Source organism: Homo sapiens, chromosome 10, assembly GCF_000001405.40.
Source record: "Homo sapiens chromosome 10, GRCh38.p14 Primary Assembly".
NCBI classification, from domain to species: domain Eukaryota; kingdom Metazoa; phylum Chordata; class Mammalia; order Primates; family Hominidae; genus Homo; species Homo sapiens.
This window is the reverse complement of record NC_000010.11, coordinates 89,392,619-89,408,473: the sequence shown is the minus strand read 5'-3', so window position 1 is coordinate 89,408,473 and position 15,855 is coordinate 89,392,619. Positions and strand designations below refer to the sequence as shown.

The 15,855-nt window shown below is 39.6% G+C and overlaps 2 protein-coding genes across 13 annotated transcripts in view, besides 1 other annotated feature; one reads left to right on the top strand and one right to left on the bottom strand.

Moving 5' to 3' along the window:
* The window catches only part of LIPA (lipase A, lysosomal acid type), a 201,108-nt gene that overhangs the window by 6,206 nt on the left and 179,047 nt on the right, over positions 1-15,855 (top strand). The window lies entirely within an intron of this gene.
* On the bottom strand, positions 1,987-15,851 carry IFIT1 (interferon induced protein with tetratricopeptide repeats 1). Of its 5 annotated transcripts, none has more exons than NM_001270930.2 (3): positions 15,757-15,851; positions 15,133-15,367; positions 1,987-6,193 (listed from the first exon to the last, which is right to left on the bottom strand). In NM_001270930.2, the coding sequence occupies exon 3, from the start codon at positions 6,103-6,105 to the stop codon at positions 4,762-4,764; it is 1,344 nt and encodes a 447-aa protein (NP_001257859.1). In that variant the 5' UTR covers positions 6,106-6,193; positions 15,133-15,367; positions 15,757-15,851; the 3' UTR covers positions 1,987-4,761. The 5 variants fall into 5 exon arrangements, with proteins under 5 accessions (NP_001257859.1, NP_001257856.1, NP_001257857.1 ...); NM_001270927.2 differs by having other exon boundaries at positions 15,271-15,367; NM_001270928.2 differs by lacking the exon at positions 15,133-15,367 and adding an exon at positions 8,471-8,584.
* Positions 15,122-15,171: an enhancer, noted in NCBI's record as "active region_3749". NCBI's record gives its function as "activates an Ori minimal core promoter by ATAC-STARR-seq in GM12878 lymphoblastoid cells {active_cell/tissue: GM12878}" and the evidence as "EXISTENCE:reporter gene assay evidence [ECO:0000049][PMID:35858748]".

The following is a 15,855-nucleotide window of genomic DNA, read 5'->3' as shown; positions in this document are numbered from 1 at the left end:
TATCATTAATAGGAAGGGGAGCTATAGGAAGGCTAGGATATGGGGATAAGCTGAAAGGTCCTCCTGTGGGATGTAAATTGCAAGCTTTGCATAGTTGTGTATTTTCCTTCAATGAAAAGAAAGCTTGGACATAAGGTATTTCACTCCATTTGCCTTCCCTCTTACAGAAAATATCAAGCTGAAGGATAGTATTGTAATTTATACTTCCCTCAGGTGGCCATTTTTCCCCATCAGAGAGAGAATATTGGGGCCAGGCCATAGCACAGAAAAAAATGAGCCACCTCTTTTTCAGGGTTTGCAGGTCAAATTGGTCCCAATGGCTTAGGATGCATTTCAAGGGTGAGCCTGTTGATACCTGAGTGTTTTCCTTCTGAAAGACAAAACCACCCATGGTTTTGGTTTGTTTGTTTCTCCCCCTGCCCAAGAACCCGCAATGGTCTCTGGACCCTGCTGATCAGAATAGTTGCACTCACTGATGCAGCAGCAGAAACACCTCTTGCCCAAGAACCCGCAATGGTCCCTGGACCCTGCTGATTGGAATAGTTGCACTCACCAATGCAGCAGCAGAAACACTAGTTTTCCTCCTAGACCACAAGGAGGACTGAGGAAGGTTGGATTTAGTGGCCCTTACCTACACATTCTCGAAAACCTGCACCCTTGCCTGTCCTCCTAGACCACAAAGAGGACCGAGAAAAATCGGACTTAGCGGCCCTTACCGACGCATTCTCTAAAACCTGTTAGAGTCCTAAGCATTCTCCTGTTGGTATTGGGACCTTACCTGTGTCCTATAAAGATGTTATGCCCCAAAAATGAAGTAGAGGGCCATACCCTGAGGGAGGGAAGGGAGCTCCAGAGTTGGAAGCGTAATGCCTTTTGTCTTCATTTATATGAATAGGAAGGATACAATTTCTGAGGCTCCCCATATTCTAGCTTCAGGAATAGCTTTTGTTAGGCCTGCTTGTCTGAGGAGGGATCCTAAAATTCCAGATAGTCCCCCATACGATGGGGCTTTGGGCAAAAATTATGTCTTTCTCATTGGTGAGCCTGGGTGCCTAAAGATGGTAACAGAGTCCGGAAGTTTATACTAGAAATCATTCTTATAGGGGAAACTAGAAAAGCACCAGAGACAGGGAGTGGTTTTTAGAAGCGGGACTAGCCTCGGAGAAGAGAAGCAAGAGGAAGTTTGTCTGGCAGGCATTAGGACCCAGGAGGCAAGGGTTAGGGTAGATAGAATAGATAGGTGAGTCTCACTTGGGCGACATGACTTTGAGAGTTTCACTCATGGCCGCAGGGTCAATGAACTTGTTGTCAGGACCCCAGAGCTGAATGGCTTTCCTCCCTGTCAACCCTTGGTTCAGCCTGGAAGTACAGGAATAATGGAAGCTGGTTCCAGGCAAACCAACGCTCCCAACTCCAAAGAGTTGGGGGTTGTTAGAGAGCCCTTTCCCAGAAAGCCTGACACCCGTGTCTTTAGTCTGGCGGCCACACTAGTTGCTTTTAACTGGTCGACAGGTGCCCAGTATTTAGCCCCCGAATTCTAAGGAAAAATAGGATGAATAGCAAGTGAAAGGGGTCCGATGGTACTCACTGCTTGGCGATAGGTGATAGGCGATAGTCCCTTCGTGGTCACCAAAATTTGTCTGGAATTGGTTCCTTCCAGTGGGTTCTTGGTCTCGCTGACTTCAAGAATGAAGCTGCGGACCCTCACAGTGAGTGTTGCAGTTCTTAAAGGTGGTGTGTCCAGAGTTTGTTCCTTTCAATGTTCAGATGCATCCAGAGTTTCTTCCTTCTGGTGGGTTTGTGGTCTTGCTGACTTCAGGAGTGAAGCTGCAGACCTTTGCAGTGAGTGTTACAGGTCTTAAAGGTGGTGTGTCGGGAGTTGTTTGTTCCTCCTGGTGGGTTTGTGGTCTCGCTGGCTTCAGGAGTGAAGCCGTAGACCTTCGTGGTGAGTGTTACAGCTCATAAAAGCAGTGCAGACCCAAAGAGTGAGCAGCAGCAAGATTTATTGAAAGAGCGAAAGAACAAAACTTCCACAGCATGGAAGGGGACCCGAGCGGGTTGCCGCTGCCAGCTCGGGTGGCCTGCTTTTATTCCCTTACTTGGCCCCACCCACATCCTGCTGATTGGTCCATTTTACAGAGAGCTGATTGGTCCATTTTACAGAGTGTTGACTGGTCCATTTTACAATACTTTAGCTAGACAGAAAAGTTCTCCAAGTCCCCACCCAACCCAGAAGCCCAGCCGGCTTCACCTCTCAATGGGATGATCTGTTGGTGATGGGATGATCTGTTCAGCAAACCGCCATGGCACACGTTTACCTGTGTAACAAACCTGAACATCCTGCACATGTACCCTTGAATTTAAAATAAAAGTTGAAGCAAAAAATGTATTTCCAACGAAAATATAGCATTTAATGTGAGATGTGCCATAATCTCTGTCCTACCTTCTTAAGGGCAATGGATGAAATCAGTATCTACTGGAAGGAGTAAAAATATTAAATAATTGAAGCAAAATGGATTGGAAGCCCAAAATTTGGAGATTTTCTTGGGGTGCTCTGTGGTAAGAATAATGCCCCCCCCGCAATCGTATCCATGGCCAAGTCTCCAGAACCTGTGAACATGCTACTTTACATAGCAAAAGGGACTTTGCAGATGTTATTAAATTAAGGATTTGCGGATGGGGCAATTATTCTGGATTATGCAGGTGGACCTGGTGCGTCCTTAGAAGAAAGAGGCAAAAGAGTCAGAGGAGAGAAGGAGATGTGAAGAAGGAAGCAGAGAGAGAGATTTGAGGCTACTACACTGTTGGTTTTTAAGATGGATGAAAGAATTCAGGCAGCCTCTGGAAGCTGGAAAAGGCTATCTGCCTAGAGCCTCCGGAGGAGTGTAGCGTCATCAATACCTTGACTTTGGCTCATTGAAACCCATTTCAGACTTCTGACCTCCAGAACTGTAAGAAAGAGTAAATCTGTGAAATTTTAAGTCACCAAGTTTGTGGTAATTTGTTACAGCCACTAAAAGAAACTAGTATATTCCCCCCAAAACATATACAGAATGAAAGATCAATAACATTGCTTATTTATTTTTTCCTTCTTATTATTTGTTGTGCCTTGCCTTTCAATAAAATATGATTATTCATAATCAAAGGTGATTGTTACCCATGATCTCTGATTTAGCAACATTTTCATGTAATATTTCTTGATTTAACTAGATTAATATCAGCAAATGACTTAGTAAGTAGTGCTTCAAATAAAATGGCATAAAACAAGATAAACTCCTTGGAACCCTTTCACATTGAATTAAAATTAAAACATCTTCATGAAGAAAACTAACCTTTAATTGACTCTGTACTGCTATCTGTGTCTCTCACTAGATTGTAAACTGCATGAGGTTTGGGAAGAATATGTGCCTGTTTATTACAGTATTTTTGGTTTCTTGCACTGAAAGCTATTTATTGATAGTGTTGACATAAAATCACAAGCTATATACAATTGGAGAGAACTTTTTTTTTTTTTGAGATGGGGTCTCGTTCTATCATCCAGAATGGAGTGCAGTGGCAAGATCTCGACACTGCAGCCTCGAACTCCCTGGCTCCAGCAGTCCACTCACCTCAGCCTCCTGAGTAGCTGGAACTGAAGCTACAGGTGCATGCCACCACACCCAGCTAAGTTTTTGCATTTTTTGTAGAGACGGTTGGTTTTGCCATTGCCAAGGCTGCTCTCGAACTCCTGGGTTCAGGTGATCTGCCTGCCTCGTCCCATCGAAGTGCTGAGATTACAGGCGTGAGCCACTGCAGCCTCCTCTCCTGCAACCTGCAGCCTGGGAAGCAGAGCCTACCACAGCAACCAAAAGCAGGCTCTTGGAGGAAGGGAGGGTATTACAGAAGTTTTATGGTTGGTGGATTGGCTAGACACACATAGTTAACAGGTTATGGGGGGCTATGAATATTCATGAGGGGCAGTCACACAATAGTGGTATGTAAACATGTATGTCACATGCATTCTGTGTTCACTCTGTGGTGGAGACTTAACATTAAAATACAGCAAAATTAGCCTTTCTATATCAAAAGGTGAAACAAAGGACATAGAGGCACCCTGTGTGCAGCCTCCATGGACTGGCCAGAACCAGTCTGTGGGCAGTGGTCACTTATCAGGAGGGAAGGCTGATCAGTTGTCATGTGGAAACCGCAAGAGGGGAGGGGAGTCTGGCTGTGGCGCTACGTGGAGTGAGCTAGGTGAAGTCAGCCAAGGAGTGAGTCTTCTGTTCTTTGTTTTCCATGGGTTTCTGTTTAACTCAGTGGAAAAAGTCCAATGGCAGTTAGCAAGGGAGGGAATATAATGAGGTGTGAATGATCTCTCATCTTGTCATGGTTGGGAAACTTAGTTTTTAAGGTTTCTGGGGTCTCCTTGGCCAAGAGGGTCTGTTCAGTTGGTGGAGGAGCTAAGGATTTTATTTTTATTTCACAATAAAATGAATGAATTAAACATTTAGTGTAAGTCCAATGTTTTATTTCCTACAAAGTTAACTAACATTTTTTCTCTACTACATAGCACTCATACAAATGATTTCTCTTTCTTACATGCATACACACATTCTGTTTCACTAATTGTTGAACACAACTAATATTTTGTCAGATTTATTATTCAAGAATTACATCATTACAGTGAATTATAATGTTTCTGAAAACAGTAAGCAGAAAAGATGATTAGTAAATGTTAGCATAAAATGAAATGAAATGTGAAAGTGGCTGATATCTGGGTGCCTAAGGACCTTGTCTCACAGAGTTCTCAAAGTCAGCAGCCAGTCTCAGGGCCCGCTCATAGTACTCCAGGGCTTCATTCATATTTCCTTCCAATTTGTAGACGAACCCAAGGAGGCTCAAGCTTTCCAGATCTAATGCCTTTCTCCGAAGTTTCCTTAAAACCAATTTCTTCAAAGAATTGATACTTTTATCCCTTGTTAATGATGCCTGTTCTATTTTTATAGCTTTTAAATAATGGATAATTGCATTGACGTCAGATTTCTTTTGAAATTCCTGAAACCGACCATAGTGGAAATGTATGTCTTGCATTGTTTCTTCTACCACTGGTTTCATGCATAACAATTTTTGAAAATTCTCTTCAGCTTTTCTGTGATTGCCTGCTTCTATATACATTCTTGCCAGGTCTAGATGAGCCACCTCAAATGTGGGCTTTTTTTCCACTGCAGATTCAAAATGAAATATGGCTGATCTTATCATTTTGTCTAGCTTTTCTCTGTTCTGCCCTCTAGGCTGCCCTTTTGTAGCCTCCTTGATTTGGATCATTTGTGCCTTGTAGCAAAGCCCTATCTGGTGATGCAGTAAGACAGAAGTGGGTGTTTCCTGCAAGGCCTTTTTTAATAACTCAAGAGCTTTATCCACAGAGCCTTTTCTTCGGTAAAACTTGGCTGCATATCGAAAGACATAGGTCTGTGAGGACATGTTGGCTAGAGCTTCTTCAATGTACTTTTCTCCTTCAGCTTCCTGTCCTTCATCCTGAAGCTTCAGGGCAAGGAGAACCTTAATATATCCATTGTCTGGATTTAAGCGGACAGCCTGCCTTAGGGGAAGCAAAGAAAATGGCTTGTGATTTTTTGTGGCTAATTTAAAGCCATCCAGGCGATAGGCAGAGATCGCATACCCAGCGCTGGATTCAGGGTTTTCAGGGTCCACTTCAAGCACCTTTTCAAAGCAGGCCTTGGCCCGTTCATAATTTTTTCCTCCACACTTCAGCAAGGCCCATCCTTCCTCACAGTCTATTTCTGGACACTCCATTCTATAGCGGAAGGGATTTGAAAGCTTCTTGCAAATGTTCTCCACCTTGTCCAGGTAAGTCTGGGCTTCTGCCAGTCTGCCCATGTGGTAATACATCCAGGCAAAGTTGCCCCAGGTCACCAGACTCCTCACATTTGCTTGGTTGTCATGTTCTTCCTGCATTAAGTTTTCAGCTTCTTTTAAGCTCTTCAGGGCTTCCTCATTCTGGCCTTTCAGGTGTTTCACATAGGCTAGTAGGTTGTGTATTCCCACACTGTATTTGGTGTCTAGGAATTCAATCTGATCCAAGACTCTGTTTTCTAAATCAGGCATTTCATCGTCATCAATGGATAACTCCCATGTAAAGTGACATCTCAATTGCTCCAGACTATCCTTGACCTGATGATCATCACCATTTGTACTGTAAAAACAAAAACAGATTTTCTTTGTTAGGTGAGGAACAGCTAAAAGAAAAAAGTCAGATAAAATACCTTGTATTTTAGTGCTTATCCTTGAAAGGATCAACTTACTTAGGTTTCATTAAAGTTAATGTATTTTTAAGTTATTCATGGACTGTTGATATTGTTTGCTTGGCTTCATATGCTGGCTAGAGCAATTTCCAGCCAAGTAACTATTCTGTACTTATGAGTCCTATTTGTAGAATGGAGATAATGATAGTATTTATCACACTGGGTTTGGTGAGGATTAATAAACTTATATGTGTCAAGCACTTAGAGCATATTATATGCTATATAAGAGTTTCTTATTTTAATATTAAGATAATTAGGACAGAGGTCAGTTAGAAATGCAGAACCTTAGGAAACATTGACTTCAGGACCTTACTCTGCATGTAATGCAACAAATTAAGACCACATGAAACAGATAATATTTGACCCGGGTTTTTTTTTTTTCATTTTTTTTTTACTTGGAAATAATTACAGATTCACGGAAAGTTGCAAAGACAGTACAGAGATCCAGTGTATCCTTCACCCACTTTCTCCAATGATTATATCTTACACAACTATAATACAGTAGCTCAAAACTAGAAAATTGACATTGGTACAACAATGCTTTTGTATAGTGCTATGTCATTTTTTTCACGTAAGCCTATGAGACCACCACTTTGATAAAGAAACGAAACTCCTCTTCACTACCACATCTCCCTCATATTACCCCTTTATGGTCACATCTGTCACCTCCTCACCTGTACTCCCCTAACCCTTGGTAACCACTAATTTGTTCTTCATCTCTGTAATTTTGTCATTTCAAGAATGTCATATAGGCTGGGTGCGGTGGCTCACACCTGTAATCCCAGAACTTTGGGAGGCCGAGGCAGGTGGATCATTTGAGGTCAGGAGTTTGAGACCAGCTGACCAACATGGTGAAATCCTGTCTCTACTAAAAATACAAAAAAAAAATTAGGTGGGCATGGTGGTGCATGCCTGTAGTCCCAGCTACTTCGGAGGCTGAGGCAGGAGAATCGCTTGAGTCTGAGAGGCAGAGGTTGCAGTGAGCTGAGATCGCGCCACTGCACTCTGGCCTAGGTAACAGAGAGAAACTCAGTCTCAAAAAAAAAAAAAAAGTCATCTAAATGGAGACTTTCATATAAAAGGATAGTTCAATATACAAAAATTAATCAATGTAATATACCACATTAACAGAATGAAGGGAATAAATACATGACCATCTCAATTGATGCAGGAAAAGCATTTGACAAAATTCAACACCCTTTATGAAAAAAAAAACAGACTATAGACTACTAATACAGGGGAACTATCTCAGCACAATTAAAGCCATATATGAAAAACCTATAGCTAGTATCATATTCAATGGTGAAAAAGGGAAAGCTTTTCCTCCACGATCAGGAATGAGGTAAGATGCTCCTTTCACCACTTCTATTCAACATGGTACTGGAAATTCTAGTCAGAGCAATTAGGAATGAAAAAGAAATACAAGACATCCAAGTTGGAAAGGAAGAAGTAAGATTATCTCTGTTCACAAATGGCATAATTTTATATGTAGAAAATTCTAAGGATTCTACACATTAACAAATACATTCAGCAAAATTGCAGGATACAAAATCTACATGAAAAATCAGTCATATTTCTATATAGTAACAATTTAAAAATCCCAAAAGGAAATTAAGAAAACAATCCCATTTACAAAAATAGCATCAAAAAGAATATAATATTTAGCAATAAACTTAACCTAGGAGGCAAAAGACTTGTACACTGGAAACTATAAGACTGCTGAAAGAAATTAAAGAAGCAATAAATAAATGGAAGGACATCCTTTGTTCGTGGATTAGAAGACATAATATTAAGATGTCAATACTACCCAAAGTGATCTACAAATTCAATGCAATCCTAATAAAAATCCCAATGACATTTTTTGCAGAAATAGAAAAATTCAACCTAAAATTCATATGAAATGTCAAGGGATCTCAAATAGTCAAAGCAATCTTGAAAAAGAAGAACAAAGTTGGATGTCTCACACATTCTGATTTCAAAACTTACTACACAGCTACAGTAATCACAATATTACAACAATGGTATAAAGACAGATGTATAGACCAGTGAAATAGAATAGAAAGCCCTGAAAAAAACCCTTACTTATCTGACTGTATTAGTTAGCTCAGAATGTCATAACTCAATATAACAGAGTGGGTGTCTTAAACAACAGAAATTTATTTTCTTACAGTTCTCGAGGCTAGAAGTCCTAGATGAAGGTGACAACCAATTTGGTTCCTGGCAAGGAATTTCTTCCTGGATTGCAGATGGCTCCTTCTTGCTGCATCCTTAAGTGGCCTTTCCTCAGTGGCACAGAGAGAGAGAGAGTGAGCTTTGGTGTCTAAGGACACCAGCTCTGTTGGATTAAGGCCTCACTCTTACGATTTTATTTAACCTTTATTACCTCTTTTTAGACTCTATCTCCAAACAACAGTTCAACATAAGAGGGTTAAGGCTTCAACTTAAGAATTTTGGGCAGGGGTGGGTGGGAAGTGCACAATTCATTCCATAACAATGGTGGAATGATTTTCAATAAGAATGACAAGACCATCTAATGGGGAAAGGATGGTCTTTTCAACAAATGTGTGGGAAAGCTGGATATATGATGAAAAAGGGTAAAGTTGGACCCTTACTTTATGCCATATACAAAAATTAACTCAAAATGGATGAAAGACCTAAATGTAAGCCCTAAAATTATAAAACTCAGAAGAAAGGAAAAAGCTTTGTAACATTGGATTTGGCAATTGGCAGTGATTCATTAGATATGATACCAAAATCACAGGCAATAACAGTAAAAATAATTAAGCTGGACTCCACCAAAATTAAAAACTTTTATGCATGGAAGGATACTATCAACAGAGTGATAAGACAAATCACAGAATGAAGGAAAATATTTGCAAATCTTGTACCTGATAGGGGATTAATATACAGAATAGATAAAGAACCTCTACAACTCAGCAACAAAAAACAAACAACTGATTAAGAAATGGGCAAAGGACTTAAATAGACATTTCCCAAAAGAAAATATACAAATGGCCAATAAACATATGCAAAGATGCTCAATATCACTAATCATTAGTGAAATGCAAATAAAAACCACAATGAGATACCACTTCATGTCTGTTAGGTTGGCTATTATTTTAAAAAAAAAGCAGGATATAACAATTATTGGTGAGAATCTAGAGAAATGTGCACTGCTAGTAGGAATGTAAAAGGGGGCAAGTGCTGTGAAAAATGGTATGGTAATTCCTCAGAAAAATTAACCATAGAATTACCATTTGATCCAGCAATTCCACTTTTGGTTTTATACCCAAAAAGAAGTGAAAGCAGAGACTCAAGCAGATTATTTATTTGTCCATATTCATAGCAGCATTATTCACATAGCAAAAGGTAGGAGCAACTTAAGTGTCCATTGATGGATGAATGGATAAACAAAATGTGGTATATACATACAATGGAATATTCAGCCTTAAAAAAGAAAAGACATTCTGATACATGTTACAACATGGATAAACTTTGAAGGTATTATGTTAAGTGAAATAAGCCAGTCACAAAAGGACAATATTGTATGATTCAATTTATATAAGCTACCTAGAGTAGGCACATTCATAAAGACAGAAAGTAAAATAGTGATTAACAGGGACTAGGGTGCCGGGTCTGTCCCACAGACCCTGGCTGATGGATGAAATGAGTACTCAGACACAGGTATGCAATGTAAGAGCAGCTAGGTGACTGCCTGGCTCTAGTGGCCAGAGAACATCCCCGAGAAGCTGGAGCTGCTTACTTTTATTCAGTGCAGGCACAATGCCGAAAACCTGGAGCCAACACAACCTGTAGGGAATTAACATTTATTGTTCCCCTTTCAGGGAACATCACGCATGTGGATGATCAAAGGTCAGTTCCTGGTCAACATAAATAAACAAGCCTGTTTAAGATACATTCCCCCACACTCCCTTGTACCTACTCCTTGCCCTCTGCCTCAGAGTTATAGAACAGCTGCCTTCAGCTGTTCTCCCCCAGGGCTCTGCAGAACCTTCTGACCTTTCAGAAGGCTTGCATTCTTTCCCTATAGTTTTTCCCGTCACTCTGACTGATCCTCCACACTGGGGGAGGAGGGAATAGGAAATGATTGTTTAATGAGTACAGAATTTCAGTTTAGGAAGATGAAAAATTTCTGGAGATGGATGGTGGTCATGGTTGCACAATAAAGTGAATGTATTTAATGTCATAGAACTGTACACTTAAAAATGGTTAAAATGGTGGATTTTATGTTATATATGTTTTACCATAATAAAACAATTTGTGATTTATTTATGGCAAAGGTACTCCAAACAAAGTAAATAGAAAAATAACAAAAACGTGGAAAATGTTTGTAATACAGAGAAGACTCTCATCTGTAATATACAAAGTGTTTTTGTAAATTGGTATAGTTCAACAGACCACTGGAAATCTATGTGAATAGATAATTTGTAGAAAAGCCAATATAAATGGCCAATAAATATGAAAAAAAATGCTCTGGATCAAGACAATGACTCATGCCTATAATCTTAGCACTTTGGGAGGCCAAGGCAGGAGATTTGCTTGAGGCCAGAAGTTTAAGATCAGTCTGGGCAACATAGTAAGACCCTGTCTCTATAAAAAGAAAAAAGATGCCCTAAGCCTCTAGCCATTAGAGAAATGCAAATTAAAGAAGCAATAATTTATAACTTTATTCCACTCAGATTGGCAAGAGTTTAAATGGATGAGGACACAATTTCTGAAGCCATGTATTATTATGGCCTTCAAGATCAATCTGATGACAGCCATGAAAATTGATAGTAATTAAAATTAAAATTTTAATTTTAAAATCAAAATTAAAATTAATGGTGGTCATTAAAATTACATTTCCTTCAACAAAGTAATTCCACTCCTCAGAATCTATCTCCCAGAAAAAAATAACCAGTACATAAGGATGTATACTCAAGAATATTCATTACCAACACTGTATATATTAGCAACAAACTGGAAATATTAATAGGGAACGGTTAAATAAAGGTATATCTATACCATAGAATATTATGTAGCCACTAGACTACATGAATTAGATCAAAACTACTTGAGTTTGATGGACTTTCATATATATCAAGAAAAGTGAATTGTAAAGAAGTGTCCAAAACACGACCCTATTTTATAAAGAACCAAATCCTTATATATTTGTATGTATGTGATTACTCATGTATGGAGAAATATATGTAAGTATATTTACAGCTCATCAACAAAAAGATAAGCAACCCAATTTAAAAATGGGCAAAGGACTTGAGTAGACAATTCTCCAAAGAAGAATCACAAAGGACTAGCAAACACATGAAAAGATGCTCAACATCATTAGCTACTAGAAAAATGCTAACCAAAACCATGAGCTATCACTTCTCACCCAGTAAGTTGGCTACAATAATAATTTTAGAAAAGGAGAATAGGTGAACAAGTATTGACAAGTGCTATGGTTTGGATACAGTTTGATTGTCCCCACCAAATCTACGGAAATTTGATCTCTAGTGTCACAATTTTGGAGGTAGGGTCTAGTGGGATGTGTTTGGATCATAGAGGTAGGTCTCTCGTGAATGACCTGGTGCCATTCTAGTAGTAGTGAGTGAATTCTCATTCTTGTGAGACTGGATTGGTTCTTGGGGGAATGGATTAATCCTTTGAGAATGGGTTGTTATAATGTGAGGATGCCCCCTGGGTTTAGACCCTCTTTGTATGTGCTTCCCCTTTGACCTTCTCCAGTGTGTTTTGACACAGCACCAAAGCCCTCACCAGAAGCTGAGAAGATGCCAGCACCATACTTCTTGTATGGGCTGCGGAACTGTGAGCTAAATAAACCTTTTTTCTTTAGAAATTGCCCAGCCTTAGAAATTGTTGCTTATTCTTCTATAGCAACACAAAAAGGACTAAGGCAATAAGGATGTGGAGAAATTGAAACCCTCATACATTGCTGGTGGGAATGTAAAATGATGCAGCTGCTGTGGAAAACAATGTGGTGGTTCCTCAATAAGTTAAACATAATATTACCATATGACACATTCCTGGGTATACATTCCTGGATGTTCCACATCTGGATATATACTTAAGATACTTAAAAACAGGTGTTCAAATAAAAACTTGCACACAGATGTTGATAGCAGCACTATTCATAATGGCCAAAAAATGGAAACAACCCAAATGTTCACCAACTGATAGATAAAAAAATGTAATATATCCATAAAGTGGAATATTATGTAGCCATAAAAAGGAATGAAGTACTGATACATGACACAACATGGATAAACCTTGACAACACTACACTAAATGAAAAAAACTGATCCAAAAGGTCACTGTTGTATTTTTTTTTTTCCTAATTTTGTCTTGAGGTCTCTCCTGTGAGAGTGGCTACAATCTACAGCCCTGCCTTGAAAGAGCTTCAGGGTATTTGGTCATGGATATTTACAATGTGCCTTTCTTGGGATACTTCTTTATTTTGATGAACAGCCTAATGCCTAAGCGTCTGATCTATGTCTAGGTGTCCCCTTTTATAGGAAACTTGTTTATATCAGGCAGATGCCCTTGTGGTTCTTGCCTGACCTGTGTTTAGTTTATTTCTACTGAGACAGCCACTCTCTCGGAAAGCCATGACCAGTAAAGAAGAGTTTGAGTGTGTTGGTCAGGTGAAATACAAAGGAGGCAATTGAAAAAAATAGTATGTGAAATAACAGAAGCAGCTTATTACTTACAGATCCAGAGAGAAGAGGGTAATATGCCTTGCAGGGCCAATGGGAAAGGGGGAGCCATTGAGGACATGCCTGCTCAACCAGCGAGTGGGGAATGTGGGCCCAAGCCTTTATGGGAGGCCAGGGCGTTACCTAGGTGGGTTTCCTGTGGAGAGTTCTATTTGGTGGGTTTAGAGCAAGCAGGTGCAATTTTGCCAAGGGGTCATGCTGTGACTGAGAGGTGGTCACTGCAGCACATCTGCCTGGTCCATGTGGGGTGGGGGTGGGGTCAGTGGGGGCAAGTCAAATAGGTCATACCCTGCTATGCTATAGGGAAGTGGTCACCAGGAGGTAGTTATATAAAGCAGATATCTGGATCAATCACATTGAGGAACTGGAAAAAGGTGGAGAACTAGAAATTGTCTCAAGGGTGACTGAGCCCTGCTTCTGGAATGAGAAAGTCCAACTTAATATTCAAAAAGGGATGCTTAGGAAATATAAAATTATAAAAATTCAATATAACCACATAGTATGTGTTTCCATTTATATGAAATACCCACAATAGGCAAATCCATAGAGACAGAAAGCAGATTAACAGTTGCTGGGGCCTGGGGAAAGAGGCAAGTAGGGAGTGACTGCTTAATGGCTATGCAGTTTCTCCACATAGCGAGAAAAATGTTCTTGAACTAGATAGTGATGATGATTGCACAGTAGTATCATGAATATACTAAATACTACTAAATTGTATACTTTAAAGTAATTAAAATGATAAATTTTATTTTACATGTATTTTATCACAATAAAAAATCACATTGCTAACCTGAATAAAATTCAAGTTTTATATATATATATATATATATATATATATATATATATATATATATATATATTTTCCTGTAGTACATATTGACATAAACATAAAAGCAGGAAAACATAAAAGCAAATGAGTTTGCCATCTGAAATAATCACATGAGCCCCCACTGACACCCTTTGGGAAACATTGATTTAAAGGTTTAATGAAATATCATTGAATGTAGAGATCCTGATCCATATCTCAAAGCTACCACTTATTGTCTGTGTGATCTTAACATTTCTAAATCTAAGATTCCTTATTGTAAAATCAGGATCATACAGCCATGCACTGCATAATGATATTTTAGTCCACAAAGGACCACATATTTGGTGGTGGTCCTATAAGATTTTAATGCCACAATTTTGCTGTACTCTATGTTTAAATATGTTTAGATAAACAAATACTTGCCATTGTATTGCAGTTGCCTACAGTATTCAGTACAGTAACATGCTGCACAGGTTTATAGCCTAGGTGTGTAGTAGGCTATACCGTCTAGGTTTGATGTTTGCATAATGATGAAATTGCCTAACAGCTGCATTTCTCAGAGTGTATCCCCATTGTTACACGATGCATGACTGTGTAAGTACCTGCCTTATAAGTATCTTTTGAGAATTAAATGGAATAATTTACATAACACTTTTAGAAGCCAGGCTGTCACTTAATACGAATTCAAGAAGTGATAACTACCTTTATAACATTTAATATTATTATTATTTTAATTATCAGTACCAACTCCATCTGTTTACAGAGGAGGGTTCATCATAGGCCTGTAATGTGCATTTTCTGGAATTTTTACCTCTTCAAAATTTTGCCAACTGGAGCACTGAGGGGAAAATTTACAAATCAGTATTAAGTAATGGATTTTTTGTTTGTTTGTTTGTTTTTGAGACGGAGTCTCGCTCTGTTGCCCAGGCTGGAGTGCAGTGGTACAATCTCAGCTCACTGCAACTTACGCCTCCCAGGTTCAAGTGATTCTCCTGCCTCAGCCTCCCAAGTAGCTGGGACTACAGGCATGTGCCACCATGCCCAAATTTTTGTATTTTTAGTAGAGATGGGGTTTCACCATGTTGGCCAGGATGGGCTCCAACTCCTGACCTCAGGCGATCTGCTCACCTTGGCCTCCCAAAGTGCTGGGATTACAAGCATGAGCCCCCTTGCCCGGCCTAAGTAATGGTTTTTAAATCAGCTGAGAAATTCCCACATTAGGCCCTTTAGGTAAGGAAGATACGGATCTTCCCAAGCAGATGTGGATCATCTTCAGTCAAGGACGTACCAAGAGCCTAGATTTTCCAGGGAGGAGGCAATCTGTTTATCTTAAGCTCAGCCTGATTGCGAAAACCTGTTGTAAGAGGCCAGCAGTGCAGAAAGTGAGACCAGAAGCCTATGGAGGAAGGCTGTGAGCTTTTCCTACCACATCTCCACTGTATTACCCACAAGACATCAGAGAGGCTGCAAGACTGAGGCTTTCACATTCTTGTGGGTCCTGCTTTTTCTCTGTGGTAAAGAACCTGCAGAAAGCAATGCCTCTACTCAGACAAGCTGTCCATTCCTTCCCCATATCAGACAGAAGTGAATCTGATGGGAAAGAATCTCTCAGATTGGGATCATTTTCTCCCTTCCTGCAAAACTCTTTTCCCATTTCCCTCCCCTTCTTTGGGCTATAGCATGAGGTAAGCTTCCTCAAGTTCATGCTAACAAACATAAAAATGCATTAAACAATTTATGTATGTGTGAACGTGCACACACATGCATGCACACATTCAGTCCATAAGCAGATACTCAAATCGAGGAATTAGAAAACCTGACCTCACTGAGATCTAACCTGTTGAAATAGTATTTAATTACCATTTTTTCAAAAACTTTAGACATTATGGCAGAGGAGCAAAGAAATCCTTACCTCATGGTTGCTGTAAATTAGGCAGCCGTTCTGCAGGGTTTTGCTTAGCCAGGCTCCTCTGAGATCTGGCTATTCTGTCTTGTGGATTTTCAGTTACGT